A 20,475-nucleotide genomic window follows, 5' to 3' on the forward strand; every position below is an offset into this window, starting at 1 on the left:
GTTAGTTTCTTTTCCACCCTATCTCCGCTATGGAAAAAGTAGCTGCCCCTTTACCTGTGCCAATTCTCCTATTGTTGCCAGGACATTATTGATCACACCTGGGTTTGGATCAGGGTCTGGATCTTTCAGTTTCAAAATTAATGCCTAGAGAAAGAAGTTATGAGAAAATGAATGCAGATTAGACTCTACTAGAAACCTTTCTTTTATATAAGTAAAATTCACCCAAGAGACCATCTCAGTCATAAAGAAATTCCTTCTAGGCTTTATGAATCCAAGATTTCTCTGGAATGTAAATTCTCAAACTTTTCTCCATATGAAGTCTAAGTCTGACATGTGAGAGAGCTGGGAAGCACCATAATGTGAAAGTATTTCTCATGTCTCCTCTAAACCGAGTCTCAGTGATTGTTCATCCAGATTAACATACATTATAAAGGACTTCACGTGACTCTAATGTGTTGAGATTTGAAGGTTGTTTCAGATTTTCAAGCTCATTTTTTCCTCATTTTGGGCGAGCTATTTTATGCTACTATCTACCTACTTCTCCTTTCCAAACATCTGCGATGATGTGCCTGAAGCATTAACTCTTACCTCTTGTAAGGACAGCACTTTCCTGCAACTGATAAGATTCTTGGTATTCTTTAACTGAAAGTGCTTGATATGGCCCTTTGGTCTCCAAGCGTGAGAGCAAAGAAATCACCTACTTTGTTCAGTGTACTAGTGAACACTGAAACACTCCCATCTCCCCATATGAGCTGATGACAACGCACAGAGAAAGCACCAGCCTCTCGGTTTGTGTTACCTTCAGAATAGGCTCCATGTAGGGGCGGATGAGTCGGGGGGCATTGGAGACCAGGTGCCCCAGCATGCGGGCACTCTGCTCTTTGATTCTTCCAATCCCACTGTGCTCCAACTCTGTCAAAATCTGTAGGGAAGAAAGGCTCATATGTTCTCTATGGCAGAAGACATTCTAGAGAGAGACTGTGTCCAACAGAAAAAGTGGCAGGGAACTGGGGGAAAAACCCAGACCTCCACGACAGATGAAGTAGCTGCTAGATACTCAATGAGCAACAGACTTTTCTGCAACAGGCAGAACAGCCTTAGATACAGCTGTGACAGGAAGAAAAACTATTCGAAAACCTGCTCCCTTTCCTTTTATCACAGCACTCCAATGTCCCATGGCCCTCTCTAAAGCAGAGCTTTTAACCATGTAGCACAGCCAGAGAAGACTGAGAAAACCAACAGGGAGAGCTGTGAGTAGGGTTCTATAAAAATGAGGAAAGAAGGTAGGGCCCCTTGGGAGAAAAATCTTTGTCCAGACAGCAAATTACTGAAGACTACAAATAATGGCAAAGGAATCAAAGAACAGTTAGAACAGCTATGATGCCAAGAGAAGTGCTGATACTCTGTAGCTGTTTGGGGCATATCTAGATAAACCTCAATAGGTGGGGATCACACTGGCAGGATCCCCCGAAGCCTTACTGACTGGAGATAACACATTGGTTCTAGCTGACATCCTTAGGACACCAGCAAATCAGCATATCTTGCTCATGGTGACATAGACAGCATAATATAGACAGATTTCTGGATAAAGCTGCCAGAAGGAAATCGATGAGCAGTGACAAAAGCAGATGTCACAGAGCTCAGGTTAACTCAGCTACCCAGAGGAGTCTACAATTTAACATTACATTTTGTCTTAGGTTACTGACTTAATAACCCGATTTTTCTGGATTCCCCTGGCAGCCTGTTTTCCCCAGTCATAGCAGACCACAGGGAAAAGAAATGAAGGGGATACTGAGAATAGACCTGCAGCACCAAGAAGACATGGCTGACTGCAAGGAAATGTGCCTCACGGAGCAGAGCCCAACTATCTGCAGCAGTGCGGGGCCAATCCAAAGAACCCCAGGTTCACTTAGAGCCCGAGAGCCTCACTGCATCCTAATAACAATAACCAATGCCCACCCTGATGACCAAGACCGCAAGAAAGGCCAAAGTCGGCCAGGCACGGTGGCTCATGCCTGTAATCCCAGCACTTTAGGAGGCTGAGGCAGGTGGACTGCTCGAGCCCAAGAGGCAGAGGTTGCAGTGAGACGAGATCCCACCATTGCACTCTAACCTTGGTGACAGAGTGAGATTCTGTCTCAAAACAAAACAAAACACCAAAGCCTTTACCAAGGCATGAAAATGTACACCTCAATTTGGAAAAATCTATATCAAAGTTTAAAAACAAAAAAGAGTAATTTTAACATTTCAAGGGCTAAATTCAGTACATAAATTCATTCAAAGGAGCTTCACACTCTGCAATATTGAAAAAATGAAATGGCCTGATAGCTTAATATCAGCTTTAAGAAGATTAGAGCCAGCCGGGCGAGGTGGCTCACACCTGTAATCCCAGCACTTTGGGAGGCCGAAGCGGGCAGACCATGAGGTCAAGAGATTGAGACCAGCCTGGCCAACATGGAGAAACTCCATCTCTACTAAAAATACAAAAATTAGCTGGGCGTGGTGGCGGGCGCCTGTAGTCCCAGCTACTCAGGAGGCCAAGGCAGGAGAATCGCTTGAACCTGGGAGGTGGAGGTTGCAGTGAGCCAAGATCACACTACTGCACTCCAGCCTGGCGACAGAGCGAGACTGTGTCTCAAAAAAAAAAAAGAAAGAAGATTGCAGCCACGCCTGGCTTGTTGACTGCTATATTCCCAGTGCCCAGCAGTACCTGGAACATAGCATGTGGTCAAAAAGTCTGCTGACAGAATGAACATATTGATATTCTCATTAGGAGGTATTTCTTATTTTTTCCTTTTTTTTTTTTTTTTTGAGATAGGGTCTCACTCTGTCACCCAGGCTGGAGTGCAGTGGCACAATCACGGCTCACTGCATCCACAACTTACCAGGCTCAAGTGATCCTCCCACCTCAGCCTCCTGAGTAGCTAGGACTACAGGTATGCACCACTACACCCAGCTAACTTTCGTATATTTTGTAGAGACGTGGTTTGTCATGTTCCCCAGGCTGGTCTTGTCAAACTCTTGGGCTCCTGTGATCCGCCTGCCTTGGCCTCCCAATGTGCTGGGATAACAGACATGAGACACTGCACTCAGCCGTTTAGGAGATATTTCTACGCCAAATTAATTTAGCATGATTTGAGCTGGCAGGCTCAACAGTGATTTCACGTTTTTTTTTTTTTTTTTGAGACAGAGTCTCGCTCTGTCGCCAGGCTGGAGTGCAGTGGCGCGCTCTCGGCTCACTGCAACCTTCACCTCCTGGGTTCAAGCAATTCTCCCTGCACCAGCCTCCAGAGTAGCTGGTATTACAGACGCCTGCCAACATGCCTGGCTATTTTTTTTTTATTTTTAGTAGAGATGGGGTTTCACCATGTTGGCCAGGCTGGTCTTGAACTCCTGACCCCAGGTGATCTGGCCACCTCGGCCTCCCAAAGTGCTGGGATTACAGGCATGAGCCACCACGCCCGGCCTTCAACAATGATTTCTATTCCTTCCTATAACTGAGGAATGTTTTTAAGACTTAAAATGGCAGGCACTTCTAACGCAGGCCGGCAGTTAAATAAATCATTACGCTAAAAATAGAAGTGCCAACATAAGTACAACTTCCTAATTTGTTGACTGATGATATAATTTACAGCCACTTTATAACAAATTGTGAACAAACATTTCTCTAGAGTGAGTTACATATATTAATGATTTTCTATGTTTAAGTTCCTTATATGTTATAAAAAGTGTTTACTTCAAAACAAACCATGAAGGAGGATCAGGAAGCAAACAGTGAGCAATGGGGACAGGAAATGACTGGGTGAGCAACATAGAGACCCACAAGAGGCAGGTGGAAATAACTTCACCAGGCAGGACTGGTGTATTGGCAGGACTCCATGTATTGCTCACCAGGAGGCCACAGATCTTACTCAGTAGGTGAAGACAAAAACTGAGGAGCCATGTCTCCAGAGCAATTCTACCTTACGCTACAGACCAAGCAGCTGAGCTTGGCATTCTCATATTATTTAAGAACGAAAGCCAGGATCACAGACTGGAGCAATGACTATTAGAACAAATAGTGGAAACGGTCTCACACTGGTTATTTTTGTGAAGAACAACGGCCTCCGTGCTTGACCTGGCACCAGCAAGAAAAGCAGGAGAGCTGAAGGATAGGGAGGCGCTGGGAAGTCTGACACCATCTGCAGCAGATCAACCCAGCAAGCAAAGAGGGCCAAGAAATGGGATCACTGGTGACTTGCCAGGAAAAAGAAAGAGCTGCATGAGAGGACTCTGAACCACCTTAGAGTCATATTGACAAAGGGCTCATGAGGTGATGAGCACTGGAACTGCCATTATAAAGCCAGGGAAACATTTGGACCTTTGCAGACAAATGCGGCTTTTACCAGGTACCTCAATCTTTCTCCCCCATCCTTGTCCTCAACTCCGCTTCCTCAAGCAGTTCTCACAGCGAGAGTCCTGTCTTCCCTGCCTGTGGGTCTGGCCATCACCTCGGTTACCTGGATGAGCATCTTGCGCAGGAAAGGCATGACAAAGGCAGGGTTCATGCTACTGAGTCGGCCCACAGTGCAGATGGCCAGCTCCCGGATCTCAAACACCTGGTCATTCAGAGCCACAAACAAGGCCTGCAAGTTCTCCGCCTGGGCCAGGTGTGCATCAAAGCGCTCGTCCAGGGACGCCAAGACACAGTAGCGAATGTCAGGGTCTGCAAGAGCAATGGAGCCTTTGAACATTTCCTCATGATCCCATCACTCCAGCCCTTCCCAGCTTCTACCTCCACTGCCATCAGCGTAGTGGGAAGATTCCAGATGCTTTTTCTCATCTAACCTCTGTCATTCTTTTCTCTACTCACAAGAGTAAAAGACAAAAGAATTAAAGGTAGATTATCTTACACCAAAGGCTACAGTAGCCATGCCTAACACGCCTTGGCAGAGAAATAGCTGAATATCAGCTTTTTGAGCCGAAGAACTCTAGAGAGGCCATGTAATGAAACTGGCTACTCCCAATTGTCCTAAGCTCCTTAACTCCCCTAGATTCCTTCTGTCTGGCAAGCCTTACCAGGATCTGTTATCCCAACTACGAGCAGTTTGCTAAGCACATCTGCCACCACTTGCACTGCGGTCTGGCTAACCACATGAGCATGGCCACTGATGAGGTGGATGGAGGGTGTGAGCAGGCGGGAGCAGGTGCGGGCAGCCTCCATGCGGATCTCCTTGTGCTCACTGTTCAGGAAATGATCCGCACAGTGGCGAACAAATTGGGTCAGAGAGTGGCCTGGATAGAAAGGCAGAGAGAAAACAGAATAAACACTGCTGCTGTAGACAGGTAGGTCTGCAGCTTGCTAGCTGAATTTTCCATTTTGAGGCTACTAATTCTACTTTCAACTAGATATTGATCAATACGATACTGACCCGGAACTCTTCTTTTTTTTTTTTTTGAGACGGAGTCTTGCTCTGTCGCCCAGGCTGGAGTGCAGTGGCGCAATCTCCACTCACTGCAGGCTCCGCCTCCCGGGTTCACACCATTCTCCTGCCTCAGCCTCCTGAGTAGCTGGGACTACAGGTGCCTACCACCACGCCTGGCTAATTTTTTTTTTTTTTTTTGGTATTTTTATTAGAGACAGCGTTTCACCATGTTAGCTAGGATGGTCTCGATCTCCTGACCTTGTGATCCGCCCGCCTCGGCCTCCCAAAGTGCTGGGATTATAGGCGTAAGCCACCGCGCCAGGCCTGACCCAGAACTTTTAAAGGGTAACAAGGGGGATTTCAATCAGCAGAAAGGTAAAAGGGGGTGGTGAAGGAGCAAAGAGACAGATAAAAGGTATCCCCCAATCCTAGCCTTTTTATATTCCCTTTAAATAATAAATTATTTTGTTTTATTCCAACTCAACCCCTTACATTCTCAGAGGATAATACAATTCTTGATCAAATTTACCTTGCCTCTTTTAGTTCCCGGATTTAAATACCAGACAAAGAGTCTGTGTAGGCTGGGTTTAAACATAGCTACTTTCTATTCACTAGAAATAAATTATCATGGGTGTGAATCAATGTTAAGTGGAGGAACTGCAATAGAGAAACCATGGGTGGCTGTCTCCAGACAGCATGTTCAGGCTTTCTGTACTTGCTTGTTTCCCCACATTCTTGACCAATACTACCTATATGATCTTAAATTTCAAAAGTATCAACTTCTCCCCCTGAAATATATCTCTGTGGGGTATTATTATGGGTTTATTTGCAGTTTAGAACTACACAGTATGGTACTTTTAGAAATCATACCGCCAGCCGGGCACAGTGGCTCATGGATATAATCCCAGCACTTTGGGAGGTCGAGGCAGGCAGATCACTTGAGGTCAGGAGTTCCAGACCAACCTGGCCAACATGGTGAAACCCCATCTCTACCAAAAATACAAAAATTAGCCGGGTGTGGTGACACGCGCCTATAGTCCCAGCTACTCGGGAGGCTGTGGCAGGAGAATCGCTTGAACCCAGGAGGCAGAGGTTGCAGTGAGCTGAGATTGTGCCACTGCACATCAGCCTGGGCAACAGAGAGACTTTGTCTCAAAAAAAAAAAAAAAAGAAAGAAAAAAGAAATCATACTGCCATAGACATGGAAACACCCAAAAGCCCCTACTTATACATTTTAAAGCATTACATACCATCTCAGCTACAAAGAAGTGGAAAAGTGAGGATGTGAGGGGGATCTGTCTCTGAAGCATTATTTCCTTGGATCAACGTATACTTTCCCTCAAACCATTTGCCCCCAAACTCAGTATGGGACAAAGAAACAAAAGTAGGAATTACCAATACGTGGAAAGAGTCTAGGAAGGATGAGCTGCTACAGAATCAGCTACCCTGTCTTTAGCACCCCAGCAAGATCCAGGAATCCTAGATACCTTCATTCCTTTCCCAAAGTTTCCAGCATCTCTCACTATCTTGGCAAGAGCCGTTGTAATTTCTTACCTTCAAATTCAAAGCTGCCAAGCGTTCGGAGGGCAAGAGTGATGCTGCCCACATCGCTGGCCTCAGGGAGGGTCGTGAGGCCAGGAGAGGCCAGCTGATGGGCCAGGCCCTTGGGCATGCCTGGGTGGCGAAGGGGTTTGTGCATAAGGACCAGGGACAGCATTTTCAGTAGCCCATCTTGAATGTCCTTCTTTAGCTGTGGAATCTGACGGCTCAGGTCGTAGAGCACTGCAGTGAGGGCAGGGCTGAGGGGAAGGAAACAAGTCACATAAGGGCTGGGCACATGACACTCAGTCTGTTCTTGGGAAGAAACAGCTTTCTCTCCCAGCAAGGGGATCAGGCCTCTGTTCTTCAGAGTAGAAAGGATATTATAAAATAAGAATAAAAGTGTAAACTCTCTTGGCTTAGTCTCAGGTCTCCAAACAATCTATGAGTTTCTGGTTCTTGCCACAGAAGACTTGCTCACTATAATTCAGCCACTACAGAAGACCAAGTCTCAACAAACACTCTGGGAAGCAGATTAAGAACACTGTCCTTATTTTACAGATGAAGAGAACTTAGTTTAGGAAGCTTAAGCAACTTGCTCAATAATAATATACACAATATTTGCAAATATTTATTGAGTACTTCCTATATGCCAGGCATGGTGCTAAGAGTGACTATACCATGAACCCACAGCAACCCTAGGCAATAAGAATTACTATTGCACCCACTTTTCAGATTAAAAAAAAAAAATGAGGCCAGGCGCGGTGGCTCACACCTGTAATCTCAGCACTTTGGGAGCCGAGGTGGGCGGATCACAAGGTCAGGAGATCGAGACCATCCTGGCTAACACACTGAAACCCCAACTCTACTAAAAATACAAAGAATTAGCCAGGCGTGGTGGCAGGCGCCTGTAGTCCCAGCTACTCAGGAGGCTGAGGCAGGAGAATGGCGTGAACCCGGGAGGCGGAGCTTGCAGTGAGCCAAGACTGGGCCACTGCACTCCAGCCTGGGCGACAGAGCGAGACCCCTTCTCAAAAAAAAAAAAAAAAAAAAATGAGGCTCGGGGAAATTAAATAACTTAGTCAAGATCATATAGAAAGCTAGTGATGAAACTAGGATTCAGTACTAGCCTGTGTGTTTAGTCTAAGCTATCCTGTCCATCCAGTTGAATGTGCAAACAACCATGCCTCATTCTTTTAACAGTCCCAACACTGGGGGCCAAGCCTCACGCTGATACAGGGCAAGCTCAGGTTTCTGACACCCACCTTAGTCCCACTGCCAGCATGGGCTCCAGCAGCTCCTTGATATCCTGCTGGATGCCTGGCCCCATTGCTCGAGCCAGCATGCTGATGCAAGTGAAGACTGTGGCATCCACCTGCATTGCCTTCTGCCTCCTGTAGAGAAATGGAGAGTGGCTAGTTGAGACATAATGACATTCTTTAATGTCCCACCTCAAAATCACCTTGGGGCAAGGAGAGCAGGTTACTCAGGCAGGGCTACCACAGATGGGTATGCAAATTGTCCAGAGCACAGTTCAAAGGGACCCATCACATCACAATTACTGTAGATTTGTACATTTCTACAACAATCCAGCAGATGGCAGTAAAGTGTCTTAAGGAAGGGGCCTTTTTTCTGAATTCACACAGCTATACCATATGGGTTATTGTGGTGCTCACCAAGATAATTATGTAGGAAGAGAGCTGAACAATGTGTTCATCAGGGACAAGAAGGCAGTACACAGCCATCATATGGAAAGAAATTCTTCTATGATGAGAATGCTGGGCTTTAGAATGGGGCCAGGCGCAGCGACTCACGCCTGTAATCCCAGCACTCTGGGAGGCGGAGGTGGGTGGATCACCTGAGGTCAGGAGTTCGAGACCAGCCTGGCCAACATGGTGAAACCCCGCCTCTACTAAAAATACAAAAATTAGCTGGGCGTGCTGGCACACGCCTGTAGTCCCAGCTACTTGGGAGGCTAAGGTGGGTGGATCACTTGAGGCCAGGAGTTCGAGACCAGCCCGGCCAAAATGGTGAAAACCTGTGTCTACAAAAAAATACAATTATTAGCTTGGCATAGTGGCACATGCCTGTAATCCCAGCTACTCAGGAGGCTGAGGCAGGAGAATCGCTTGAACCTGAGAGGAGGAGGTTGCAGTGACCCAAGACCGTGCCACTGCACTCCGGCCTGGGCAACCAAAGTAAGACTCCATCTCAAAAAAAAAAAAAAAAAAAAAAAAAGAATGAGTGGGGCGTATTAATTCACCACAGCAATCTTCGCTAATAAACAGGGAAGTATAAAGACAACCTGAGACAAAGGATGATGAACACTGACCCCCTCGCCTTAGCGAAGACACCCCAGTCTCTCCATCTGGCAGGATGCTGAGGGGTTTTCTCATATTTTATTCGCCAGGAGGTTTAAAGAGGTGGAATAACTTATTCAACTTCAGCGATGAGGAAAAAGATGACCCTTAGGTCCCTTCAGTTCCAGTCAAGGATTCCTCTCTTTAGGTCTTATATCAAAATAAGACTTTTAAAAGCCAGAGAAAAAAGCAAAACTAGCAGATTCCCAGTAAATAATAACACTGAAAATAGCATTGGCATCTCACATGTTCTCAGGGTATTCAACCTCCCCAAATATTTCATATATGTTATTTCATTTGGAAAAGCTTAGAATTCAACTAAGGAAGGGCTGTTCTTCATATGATTTGCTATACCCTGGAGTTTAATGATGCAAAAAATGGGCGTAAGCTCCGTGGATCTGAAATAGAGCGTCCTTCCTCTCCAACCAAATGGAGTGGAAGGTGAAATCATAACAGAGGTGCTTACTTATGGGCGAAGTCCTTTGGGGGCAGGGCCGCTCGGATGATGTCCAGCACGCGAGGCAAATAGACCTTAAACTCAGACCTCACAGCCACAGAAAGTAGCCCCAGGGCTTGGAAGGCCGCTGTACGTTCCTTCTCCTTCTTGACACAGCTTAGGACATGGTTCATGGTATCTTGGAGATACTGGGTATCTGAGCACAGAAAAGACAAAGTAGATAGCTCCAGGTCAGGGTTAGGGTCTACATATCAACAGTCAAAGGTCCTATAAAGCAATTCAGTTTAAGAATAAATTAAGAAAGTGGCCAGGCACAGTGGCTCACACCTGTAATCCCAACACTTTGGGAGGCCAAGGAGAGAGGAGTGTTTGAGGCCAGGAGTTCGAAACAGCCTGGGCAACACAGTGAGACCCTGTCTCTACAAAAATAAAAATTAGCCAGGTGTGGTGGTGCATGCCTGTAATCCCAGCTACTCGGGAGGCTGAGGCAGGAGGATCACTTGAGCCCAGATGGTTGAGGCTGCAGAAAGGTGTGATCGTGTGCAGCACTGCACTCAAGCCTGAGTGACAAAGAGCCTGTCTCAAAAAAAAAAAAAAACCCAAAAAACGTAAAAGGTTGCCAAAACAATATCACAGAATTGTCTCCATTACTGTTACATTTTCACACAAGAATTACATGCTCTTGCTGAAGAAATATATGTCAAACCTTGTTTAAAAACAGAAGATCATCTAAACAATTTTACATTATAATGAAATTTGAAGTACAGTCATGGGCCGGGTGCAGTGTCTCACACATGTAATCCCAGCACTTTGGGAGGCTGAGGAACATCACTTGAGTCCAGGAGTTTGAGGCCGCACTGAGCCAAGAGCCATGCACTCCAGCCTGGGCAACAGAATAAGACCCTGTCTCAGATGCAGTGGCTCATGCCTGTAATCCCAGCACTTTGGGACACCAAGGCAGGAGGATCACCTGAGGTCAGGAGTTTGAAACCAGCCTAACCAACATAAAGAAACCCCATCTCTACTAAAAATACAAAATTAGCCGGACATAAGGGTGCATGCCTGTAATCCTAGCTACTCAGGAGACTGAGGCAGGAGAATCGCTTGAACCCGGGAGGCGGAGGTTGCGGTGAGCCGAGATCACGCCATTCCACTCCAGCCTGGGCAACAAGAGCAAAACTACATCTCATTTAAAAAAAAAAAAAAAAAAAAGACCCCATCTCAAACTAATAAAAAACCAGTACAGGGTCGGGCGCGGTGGCTCACGCCTGTAATCCCAACACTTTGGGAGGCCAAGGCGGGTGGACTGCCTGAGCTCAGGAGTTTGAGACCAGCCTGCACAACATGATGAAACCCCGTCTCTACTGAAATACAAAAAATTAGCCAGGCATGGTAGTGCGCCTGTAATCCCAGCTACTCGGAAGGCTGACGCAGGAGAATCACTTGAACCCGGGAGGCAGAGGTTGCAGTGAGCCAAGATCGTGCCACTGCACTCCAGCCTGGGCAACAGAGCAAGACTCTGTCTCAGAAAAACAAACAAACAAACAAAAAAACAGTACAGTCGTGTGCCACTTAACAACGTTTGGGTTAACAATGGACCATGTATATGATGGTGGTCCCATAAGATTATAATACAGTATATTTTTACATATCTTTTCTATGTCTATGTTTAGATACACAAACATTTACCACTGTTTTACAGTTGCCTAGAATATTCATTACAGTAACATGCTGTACAAGTTGTAGCCCAGGAGCAATAGGCTACACCACAGAGCTAGGTGTAGAGTAGGCTATACCATCTGGGTTTATGTAAATACATTCTATGATGTTCACACAAGGACAAATTCTCCTAAGACGCATTTCTCAGAATGTATCCCCATCGTTAAGCAATATATGACTGTAATACTGAGCACTGTTTGCAATAAACAGGCCATTCCATTCAGCATAGGCCTGGAAATCATTTTGCTATTACCTAGAGATTTTTATGACAGTTATATTTAATAGAAGAAGATTTAGTCTATAATTTGGAAAGCCACATGTATATTTTCATTAGGTTCACATAAGCCAGTGTGCATGGGTAGGCGATTCTCATACAATCCAAGCTAAAGTGTTATTTCTCCTCTGAAGGCTGGAATTTCCTGATTCTTGCTTCTTGTCTATTTATTTCTTCTCTTCCATTGATGTTGGTCCCAAGTCCAGGCACCAGTAGTACACATAAAATAGGAGAGAAGGGAAAACCACACATCCCTTAGGAAGTTAGGGATACTGAAAGCTACCAGAACCACATTTAGACAATGAATTAGACTTCTAAAATAGCACATGCTATGACTGCATTTACTCTGAGAAATGTTTTCTCCCATGGCTCTTGTGGTCAAATGACAATGAGGCATGCTGGGGCTTGAAGACAGGTGACCAAGGAGATACAACCCTAAAATTAGAGTGGGTCAACAAGAAAAACTAAGGGGATAGCATTTCGGCAGGAAACGGGGTAAAATCAAGAGCATAATTTCCTGGCAAGGCGCCACAGCTCATGTCTGTAATCCCAAGCACTTTGGGAGGCCAAGGCAGGAGAATTGCTTGAGCCCAGGAGTTCAAGACCAGCCTGGGCAACACAGTGAGATCCCAAATCATCTCTACAAAAAATAAATTTAAAAAATTAGCCAGGAGTGGAGACTCATGCCTGTGGTCCTACCTACTTGGGAGGCTGAGGTGAGAGGATCGCTTGAGCTCAGTAGGTCATGGCTGCAGCGAGCTGAGATCGCATTACTGCACTTCAGCCTGGGTGACACAGCAAGACCCTGTCTCAAAAAAAACCCCAAGAGAGTATAATTTTCTTTCCTGGATTTAGCATCCTGAGATTAGAAATCTGACTGTAGAGATTCTAGTTCAGTCTTGGAGTATTTTTTTATATTTCTAAAGCTTATAACATTGAGAAGTTTAAGCAATAACTTCCAAACTGCAAGCTTTAAACAAATAGTACTTATGCAATGAAGCAAATACTTATACGGTGTGCCCAGGCTGAATGTCACTGGCATATTTTAGCATATTTAATAAAACAACCTTGACTAACCTTAAAAAAGAGAGCAACAACAATAACAAACACCCACATCAAAAGAAGAAATCTAGGGCCCTCTGAGCCTTTGTATCCTGCTGCTAGGCAGCCTTCTGAACTTACAAGGGTAACTTACAAGGGTAATGTGCCAGACTTTGATCAAATTTGGCCTAGTTATTAGTTCCTTTTGAACCACAGACTTTCAATCCAAGATCATTTAAAGCTCTACTGAACAGCAGCCTGTCTGGTCATTAAAAAAGAGAAAAGCTGCTGGGTGCCAGGCCAGAACAATAGAAACTAACAAAATACGGGTGATTTTCCTTCTGTTATTTCTCTCTGGTTCAGTGGTTTTATGTGGCGAATTGTCATGTCCTCACCCAACACGTTCTACTTCTTTCGAACAGCGTGTTTAACACCTGACCAGCTACATTTCTCCTGTGGTTTGTCTGGCTGGGTGGCGTGAAGTGAGTCTGTGTGCTAGGGAATAGGGTCTGCTGAGGGCCAGGCTGGCCTTTTGCTTATGTTCCTGGCTCTCAATGGGTCCTGAATGCTTCACTAAGCACAGGCAATGAGCACCACGGTAAAGTGGGAAGAGATGTTCAAGACTGGGTGCCTACACTCAGCAAGTAGAGAGGTAAGACAAGGACATTAAGTATGAACAGGCAACTAGAGCATTATAAATTTTACCTCTACCCTATTTCCAAAACATATTTGAAGTAGCTTGAGGAGGCTGTAATAATATATAATGGTTTCCACTTATTAGGGCTCTGTGCCAGGCACTATAGTAGATGCTGAGACATTAATGCTGCTCATCTTGGGAGGCAGAGATTGTTATTCTGATTTTACAAGTCAGGAAGCTGAGGCCCAGGTAGGTCAAATAATCTGTCCAAAACCTCATGGTTAAGGGCGGAGGTGGGGTTCATCTCAGGTCTGATGCCAAACCTTTCCACAGCTGAGGGCTATGATGGAAGAAGGCAAGGACATTTACAGCTGGAGCAATCTAGGAAGGCTTCGTTGAGAAGTTGGACTCTGAGTTGGGGCAGCTTCAGGAGCCAAGGATTGATGCTGCCTGCAAGTGGTGAGGCAGCTTGGTGACCACCTCAGGGACAGAAGCAGGACGATCCCCAAACCCTCCCTGACTCACAAAGCTTTGACGTAGATGCTGCACAGTAGCTACATCAAAACTGCCCTTCCTTTGGTCTCTTTTAAGTCTACTTGTGAACTTGTTGGCATCCATACATGAAAATTTGCTTGGCCATAGAATTGCCTCTCTGTTCTGATTGTTCCTGTGTCTGCTGCCTCTGACATTAGAAAACCTGAACTAAATAGCATTGAAATTGGACATGAGACAAAGAAATCAGAGATTTGTTGGCGTTGCTTCAAAGGAAAAGATATTTGGCTTTTCTGGAATCACCTGTTCCCTGTTTACCCTGAGATGGGTAATGATGTCTTCCATGGACATCCTCACCTGTGAAGGCAGAAGGTCGGAATGCAGCCAAGCGGGGCAACAAATTAAGGATTGTCATTTGGATCAGCGAGTTCTTGCTATTCCTGCATTTCAGCACCCACTGGCACACCTGAGAGAGGAAGGATAAAGGGTTGGCAGGGGAAAAGTGAGGTGTGGAGCTTAGGAAAAGAGGGAAAGGGCCTCTCACCACTTACCTGATCAAATTTCTCCTCCATCAAGTCTCTGCAACACCGGCTCTCCACCAGGGTGGACTTAGCTGGACTGGGGGAGGTCCCAAATCCCATGAGGCCTTGGTGAGAGCTGTACCCCAGCAGCCCCACCAAGGCATTTGACTGCTGGGGCTGTACAGCCTGGAAACTGGTGAAGGGGGTAATGTGACGAGGTTTTGTTCCGAAGCCCATGAGATCTTTGCAGTACTTGTCGTGTACCAGCTGCTGCTGTGTGATTTCTTCCATTTCTTCTCTCAGACGCTATATATATGAGGAGGAAAAAAATCATCTTTACTTATGACTGGCATTCAAACTGGGCACTGTGGATTCTACAGACAATTACATTTGCCTAATCCCGAAACGCAACTACTTCCAAAGTGAAGGGTGGCCACTCTTCATGTTTAGGGTTACAATTTCCCCAGAACCTTGCAAGGGACCTGATTTTGTTCTAAGTTAGGCAGAAGAGCACCACCTATTGAACAATAAAGCAGCAGCAGAGGGCTGCCTTGCCAAGGGTTCTCACCTCCCAGGACTCCTCACTTGGTTTGGAAGGGCTGACTTGCATACTGCTGTGACTACTGACCTAGGCCACTGCAATGAGGCTTGCAAAGGTGATGGGAGCTCCCCTGCCAGCATCCTGTTAAGGACTGTCTGATCTCTTTCTTCTCCCTAGAAACCCAGGTAAAAACTTATGCAGGCCAGGCGTGGTGGCTCATGCCTGTAATTCCGGTACTTTGGGAGGCCAAGGTGGGCAGATCACCTGAGGTCAGGAGTTCAAGCCCAGCCTGGCCAACATGGTGAAACCCCGTCCCTATTAAAAATACAAAAAATTAGCTGGGCGTGGTGGTGGGCACCTGTAGTCCTGGCTACTTGGGGGCTGAGGCAGGAGAATCACTTGAACCCAGCAGGCAGAGGTTGCAGTGAGCCAAGATTGCACCACTGCACTCTAGCCTGGGCGACAAGAGGGAAATCTGTCTCAAAAAAACAAAAAACAAAAACTTAACCAAATAATTTTCTCAGAATCCTAGGATTCCACAGGTAGTATGGAATAAGCTGACTGAGAACTCATGTCTATTACCTTTACAATGGGCTGCTTAATCACTCATCCTGAGTCAGGCGCAAGGGCTCACGCCTGTAATCCCAGCACTTTGGGAGGCCTAGGTGGGCAGATCATGAGGTCAGGAGTTCGAGACCAGTCTGACCAACATGGTGAAAACCCGTTTCTACTAAAAATACAAAAATTAGCTGGGTGTGGTGGCACATGCCTGTACTCCCAGCTACTCGGGAGGCTGAGGCAGGAGAATTGCTTGAACCCAGGAGGCGGAGGTTGCAGTGAGCCGAGATCACACCAACTGTACTCCAGCCTGGGCAGCAGAGCAAGCCTTGGTTTTGGGGGCCAGGGGAGGGGGGTTGGGGACTACTCATCCTCCAAGACTCCAAATTGAGAAGGAGATACAAGTTTTCCAAACTTCTAAACTTTTCTTGACACACATATTTTCACTTTTCAGAAAATCTTGTCCTCTCGTCAAAGTCACCAGTGAGTCTTTTTTTTTTTGAAACTAAAACACTCCATCTTTATTTATTTATTTATTTATTTATTTTTTATTGATCATTCTTGGGTGTTTCTCGCAGAGGGGGATTTGGCAGGGTCATGGGACAATAGTGGAGGGAAGGTCAGCAGATAAACAAGTGAACAAAGGTCTCTGGTTTTCCTAGGCAGAGGACCCTGCGGCCTTCCGCAGTGTTTGTGTCCCTGGGTACTTGAGATTAGGGAGTGGTGATGACTCTTAATGAGCATGCTGCCTTCAAGCATCTGTTTAACAAAGCACATCTTGCACCGCCCTTAATCCATTTAACCCTGAGTGGACACAGCACATGTTTCAGAGAGCACAGGGTTGGGGGTAAGGTCACAGATCAACAGGATCCCAAGGCAGAAGAATTTTTCTTAGTACAGAACAAAATGAAAAGTCTCCCATGTCTACCTCTTTCTACACAGACACGGCAACCATCCGATTTCTCAATCTTTTCCCCACCTTTGCCCCCTTTCTATTCCACAAAACCGCCACTGTCATCATGGCCCGTTCTCAATGAGCCACTGGGCACACCTCCCAGACGGGGTGGTGGCCGGGCAGAGGGGCTCCTCACTTCCCAGCAGGGGCGGCCGGGCAGAGGCGCCCCTCACCTCCCGGACGGGGTGGCTGGCCGGGCGGGGGGCTGACCCCCACACCTCCCTCCCGGACGGGGCGGCTGGCCGGGCAGAGGGGCTCCTCACTTCCCAGTAGGGGCGGCCGGGCAGAGGCGCCCCTCACCTCCCGGACAGGGCGGCTGGCCGGGCGGGGGGCTGACCCCCCGACCTCCCTCCCGGACGGGGCGGCTGGCCGGGCGGGGGGCTGACCCCCCACCTCCCTCCCGGACGGGGCGGCTGGCCGGGCAGGGGGCTGACCCCCCCACCTCCCTCCCAGATGGGGCGGCTGGCCGGGCAGAGGGGCTCCTCACTTCCCAGTAGGGGCGGCCGGGCAGAGGCGCCCCTCAACCAGTGAGTCTTAAGCTGCTAAATCCAATGGTCAATTCTTAGTCCTCATCTTATTTGACTTATCTGCAGCATTTCATCCAACTGATACTTCCACCTCCTTGACGCCCTTTCTTCACCTGGCTTCTCAGACTCTAAACTCTCCTGGCTCTCCTCCTCCCTCCCTGGCTGTTCCTTCCCCATCTGCCTTGGTCCTCTTCATCTCCTGACCTCAGGTTTGCAGACTCCATCTCTTCTCCAACTGTACTAGTTCCCTTGTGCTTCTCACCCAGTCTCATGATGAAATAACATCTATACGCTGACAATGCCCAAATCCATCCCCCTTGCCCAGCTCTCTCCCCAGAACTATTCAGTATCCTCACTCAGGTGCCCAACAGGTCTCTAAGTTAACAGGTTCAAAACCAAATTCCCAGTCTTCTCCCGCAAGCCTGCTGCTCCCATTTCAGTCTTCCCACTGCAGTGAATGGCAACTTCATCCTCCTAATACTCAGGCCAAACACCTTGACACTTCTTTCTCTCCATCTACCTCCAAACCATCAGCAAATCCCAAATTCAGAATCCAGTTGCTTCTTGCAACTCCATAGCTCCCACTGTGGTCTGAGCCACAAATATCCCCCACTAAGACCATGGCAATTCCCTCCTAACTGGATTCCTGGCTTTAGTCCTTGACCCTCTAACAATCCATTCTCAACACAATGGCAAGAGTGATCCTTTTGAAATATGAGTTAAATGTCACTCCACTGCTCAAAGCCCACTTATAGCTTCCCGCTTCCCACACAAAGGCCCTATGTGATATGCCCCTCCTTCCCTTAGGTGTTCCTCTGACCCCATATCCCCACACACTTCTCCTGCTCACTCTGCTCAGCCATGGTAGGGGAGCTGCTACTGCAGTATTTGCTGCTCCTCTAATACACCAGCACGCTCCTGCCTCAGGGACCACTGCCTAGAATGCTCTTCCCCAGATACCTGTAGGGCTTTTTTCTAACCTCCTTCATGGCTGTGCTCAAATAGCACCGTGTTTTAAAATGTAATCCTTAATCCAGGTGAGCATACTCTATTCCCCTTCCTTGCCCTACTTTTCTCCATAGCTCTTATAACCATATGATATATAATAGGTTTTTACTTGTATATTATCTATCTTCCCTTATAAGAATGGAATCTATTTTGTTCACTGCTGGATTATTCTAGCTCTTAGGACACAGTGTAGCTGGCATATACTAGGTGCTCAATTAATATGTGTTGAATGAATGAACAAATTATGAAATTTTAATACCTTATATTTAGATAGTTTCTTTTTTTTTTTTTTTTTTTAGTGACAAGGTCTCATTATGTTGCCCAGGCTGGTCTCAAACTCCTGAGCTCAAACTCCCACCTCGGTCTCCCAGAATGCTTGGATTGGATTACAGGCATGAGCCACCATGCCCAGCCTTGGATAGTTTCTTATAATTTACAAACCACCTGCACAAGAACTATTTCAATGAAATCTGACAACCACTCTATGAGCTAGGTGATACTGTCCTGTTTTAATGGGAGGAAACAAAGATCTCAGAGGTGCCTAGATTACAGTGGAAAACATTATGTTAAACTCAGGAGGTAAAATCTGAAGGTTACCATTTATAGAATGCCCACTATGTATTAGGTGCTGTGCTGGACACTTCACACACATAGTCATCCCCTTAGTATCCATGGGGGTTGGTTCCATGACCCACTGCGATACCAAAATCTGCAGATGCTCAAGTCCCTCCGATAAAGTAGCATAGTATTTGCATATAACCTATGTATAGCTTCCCACATACTTTAAATCATCTCTATGTTAGTTATAACACCTTATACAAAGTAAATGCTATGTAAATATTTGTTGCACTGTATTTTTAAAAATTTGTATTATCTTTAAATTGTTTGTTTTTTCCTTGATTTTTTTTTTCTTTTTAAAAAGTTAAAAAAATTTTTTTGTAGAGACACGGTCTCACCGTCTTTTGCCCAGGCTGGTCACGAACTCCTGGGATCAAGTGATCTTCCCACTTCAGCCTCCCAAAGTGCTGAAATTGCAGGTGTGGGCCACTGCACCCAGCCCTGGGTATTTGTGAACCATGACTAGTTGAATCCAGATGTAGAACTCATGGATATAGAGAGCCAACATCATATAGAAACCGCACAAGAGCCCAATGAGGTAGGTAAGAGCCCCTGTCCAAAGGGAGAAAAATGAGGCTAAACAGGTAACTTGCCTGAGTCGCACAGTCATCAGAGCGGTGGGGATCTGAAGCCAGACTCCTCCTGCTTCTGCACACTGCTGCATGCGCTGCTCCCACATCTGGGCATGGCTATTATCTAACAAGCACTGTGTCTATTATAAGCAGGAATCCCCGGGGTAAAATTTCACAGCTCATTTTCTACAGCCAGTCTCACAGATGGAGCTTTACCTCCCAAATATATCCTGAATCAACTACTTCTCAGTATCTGTGCCACCACTCCTAGTCAAAGCCACCACTGTCACTCACCCAGACTACCGTAATAGCTTCGTCTGGCAGCCGTGAGAATGCAACCTCCAACTACAAGGCGCATAACCAAGGGCCCCAGCTGCTGCTCTGAAACCCATCACTAAGTTTGTGCCAACGTCACCCATTGCTCCCAGCCAATGACAGAACACAGTAGGGATGCTAAGGCTATCCTGCTCTTGGGAGACACAGACCTCTCTGACAGCCAACTTTGGCTTGAGGACCCCGCGGTGGCCCTGCAGAGTAGGCTAGAACACTTCTATCCGAATTTTACCCTCTTGCTTACTCAGGGTCAGATGTGCATTGTGGTCCGATGCTTCTCCCAGCTTCCTCCCCATATTCTCTTGAAGGCTGTTTCCCTAATAAAATCCATGCACTTTTAAATCCACCTTCTCAAGCCAACACATCTCCTAATTGGTCTCCCTGCTTTCATTCCTGCCTTTCCCCACATTTTTTCCTATAAGCAGTCAGTGATTGTTAGAAACGCATGACATCACATTATTCGCCTGTGTGCATACTTCCAATGTTTACCCCTGTGAAAGCTCGTGTTTACTGTGAACCGTGGGCCTATTAATTTGGCCCCTCCTTCCCTCTCCCTTGCTCCCGGTACACCAGCCATACTTCCCTTTCTTCTGTTTCATCAATGTCTCACACTCTTCCACCTCAAAGCCTCAGCCTGGAACACAGTCCCCCGGCCTGCTGCAAGGTAGCTCCTTCGTGTCATGTGGACCCCCGTCAAATAACACCACCTCAGGGAGGGCCTTCCTTGACCCTCCACTCACCCCCTCCCCATCACTCTCTATTCTATTCTGGTTTGACTTTCTTCATAGAACTTGCTGCTATCTGAAATTATCTTATTTACTTATTTATTATGTTTCCTGCCACAAAATGTCAGCTCCATGAGGACATGGATCTCGCCTTGCCTCGCTCACAGAATGGTACACGGGGAGCCTGGACTCC

At 46.5% G+C, this 20,475-nt stretch overlaps 1 protein-coding gene across 8 annotated transcripts in view, besides 2 other annotated features; it reads right to left on the reverse strand.

Annotated features, from left to right (window-relative positions):
• Positions 1–20,475, reverse strand: part of MTOR (mechanistic target of rapamycin kinase) — a 156,017-nt gene that overhangs the window by 126,809 nt on the left and 8,733 nt on the right. For 6 of the 8 annotated variants that reach the window (XR_007058581.1, NM_004958.4, NM_001386500.1 and 3 more), the window contains 9 exons: positions 14,476–14,751; positions 14,282–14,390; positions 9,771–9,957; positions 8,210–8,338; positions 6,960–7,204; positions 5,059–5,274; positions 4,500–4,705; positions 800–922; positions 55–144 (listed from right to left, as the gene is read on the reverse strand). Coding sequence is in view for 7 of the 8 variants with exons in the window: in NM_004958.4 (NP_004949.1) it covers positions 55–144; positions 800–922; positions 4,500–4,705; positions 5,059–5,274; positions 6,960–7,204; positions 8,210–8,338; positions 9,771–9,957; positions 14,282–14,390; positions 14,476–14,751 (1,581 nt within the window). In the remaining variant the exon portion in view is untranslated. Of the gene's footprint in view, positions 1–54; positions 145–799; positions 923–4,392; positions 4,417–4,499; positions 4,706–5,058; positions 5,275–6,959; positions 7,205–8,209; positions 8,339–9,770; positions 9,958–14,281; positions 14,391–14,475; positions 14,752–20,475 lie in introns of those variants that run through there. The other 2 variants (NM_001386501.1, XM_047416724.1) reach the window with 2 other exon arrangements.
• Positions 8,205–8,764: an enhancer, noted in NCBI's record as "OCT4-NANOG hESC enhancer chr1:11301605-11302164 (GRCh37/hg19 assembly coordinates)". NCBI's record gives its function as "activates a minimal SCP1, AML or CMV promoter by ChIP-STARR-seq in primed H9 embryonic stem cells {active_cell/tissue: H9 hESC(primed)}" and the evidence as "EXISTENCE:reporter gene assay evidence [ECO:0000049][PMID:30033119]".
• Positions 15,072–15,638: an enhancer, noted in NCBI's record as "H3K27ac hESC enhancer chr1:11308472-11309038 (GRCh37/hg19 assembly coordinates)". NCBI's record gives its function as "activates a minimal SCP1, AML or CMV promoter by ChIP-STARR-seq in naive H9 embryonic stem cells {active_cell/tissue: H9 hESC(naive)}" and the evidence as "EXISTENCE:reporter gene assay evidence [ECO:0000049][PMID:30033119]".

Source organism: Homo sapiens, chromosome 1 (assembly GCF_000001405.40).
Source record: "Homo sapiens chromosome 1, GRCh38.p14 Primary Assembly".
NCBI classification, from domain to species: Eukaryota; Metazoa; Chordata; class Mammalia; order Primates; family Hominidae; genus Homo; species Homo sapiens.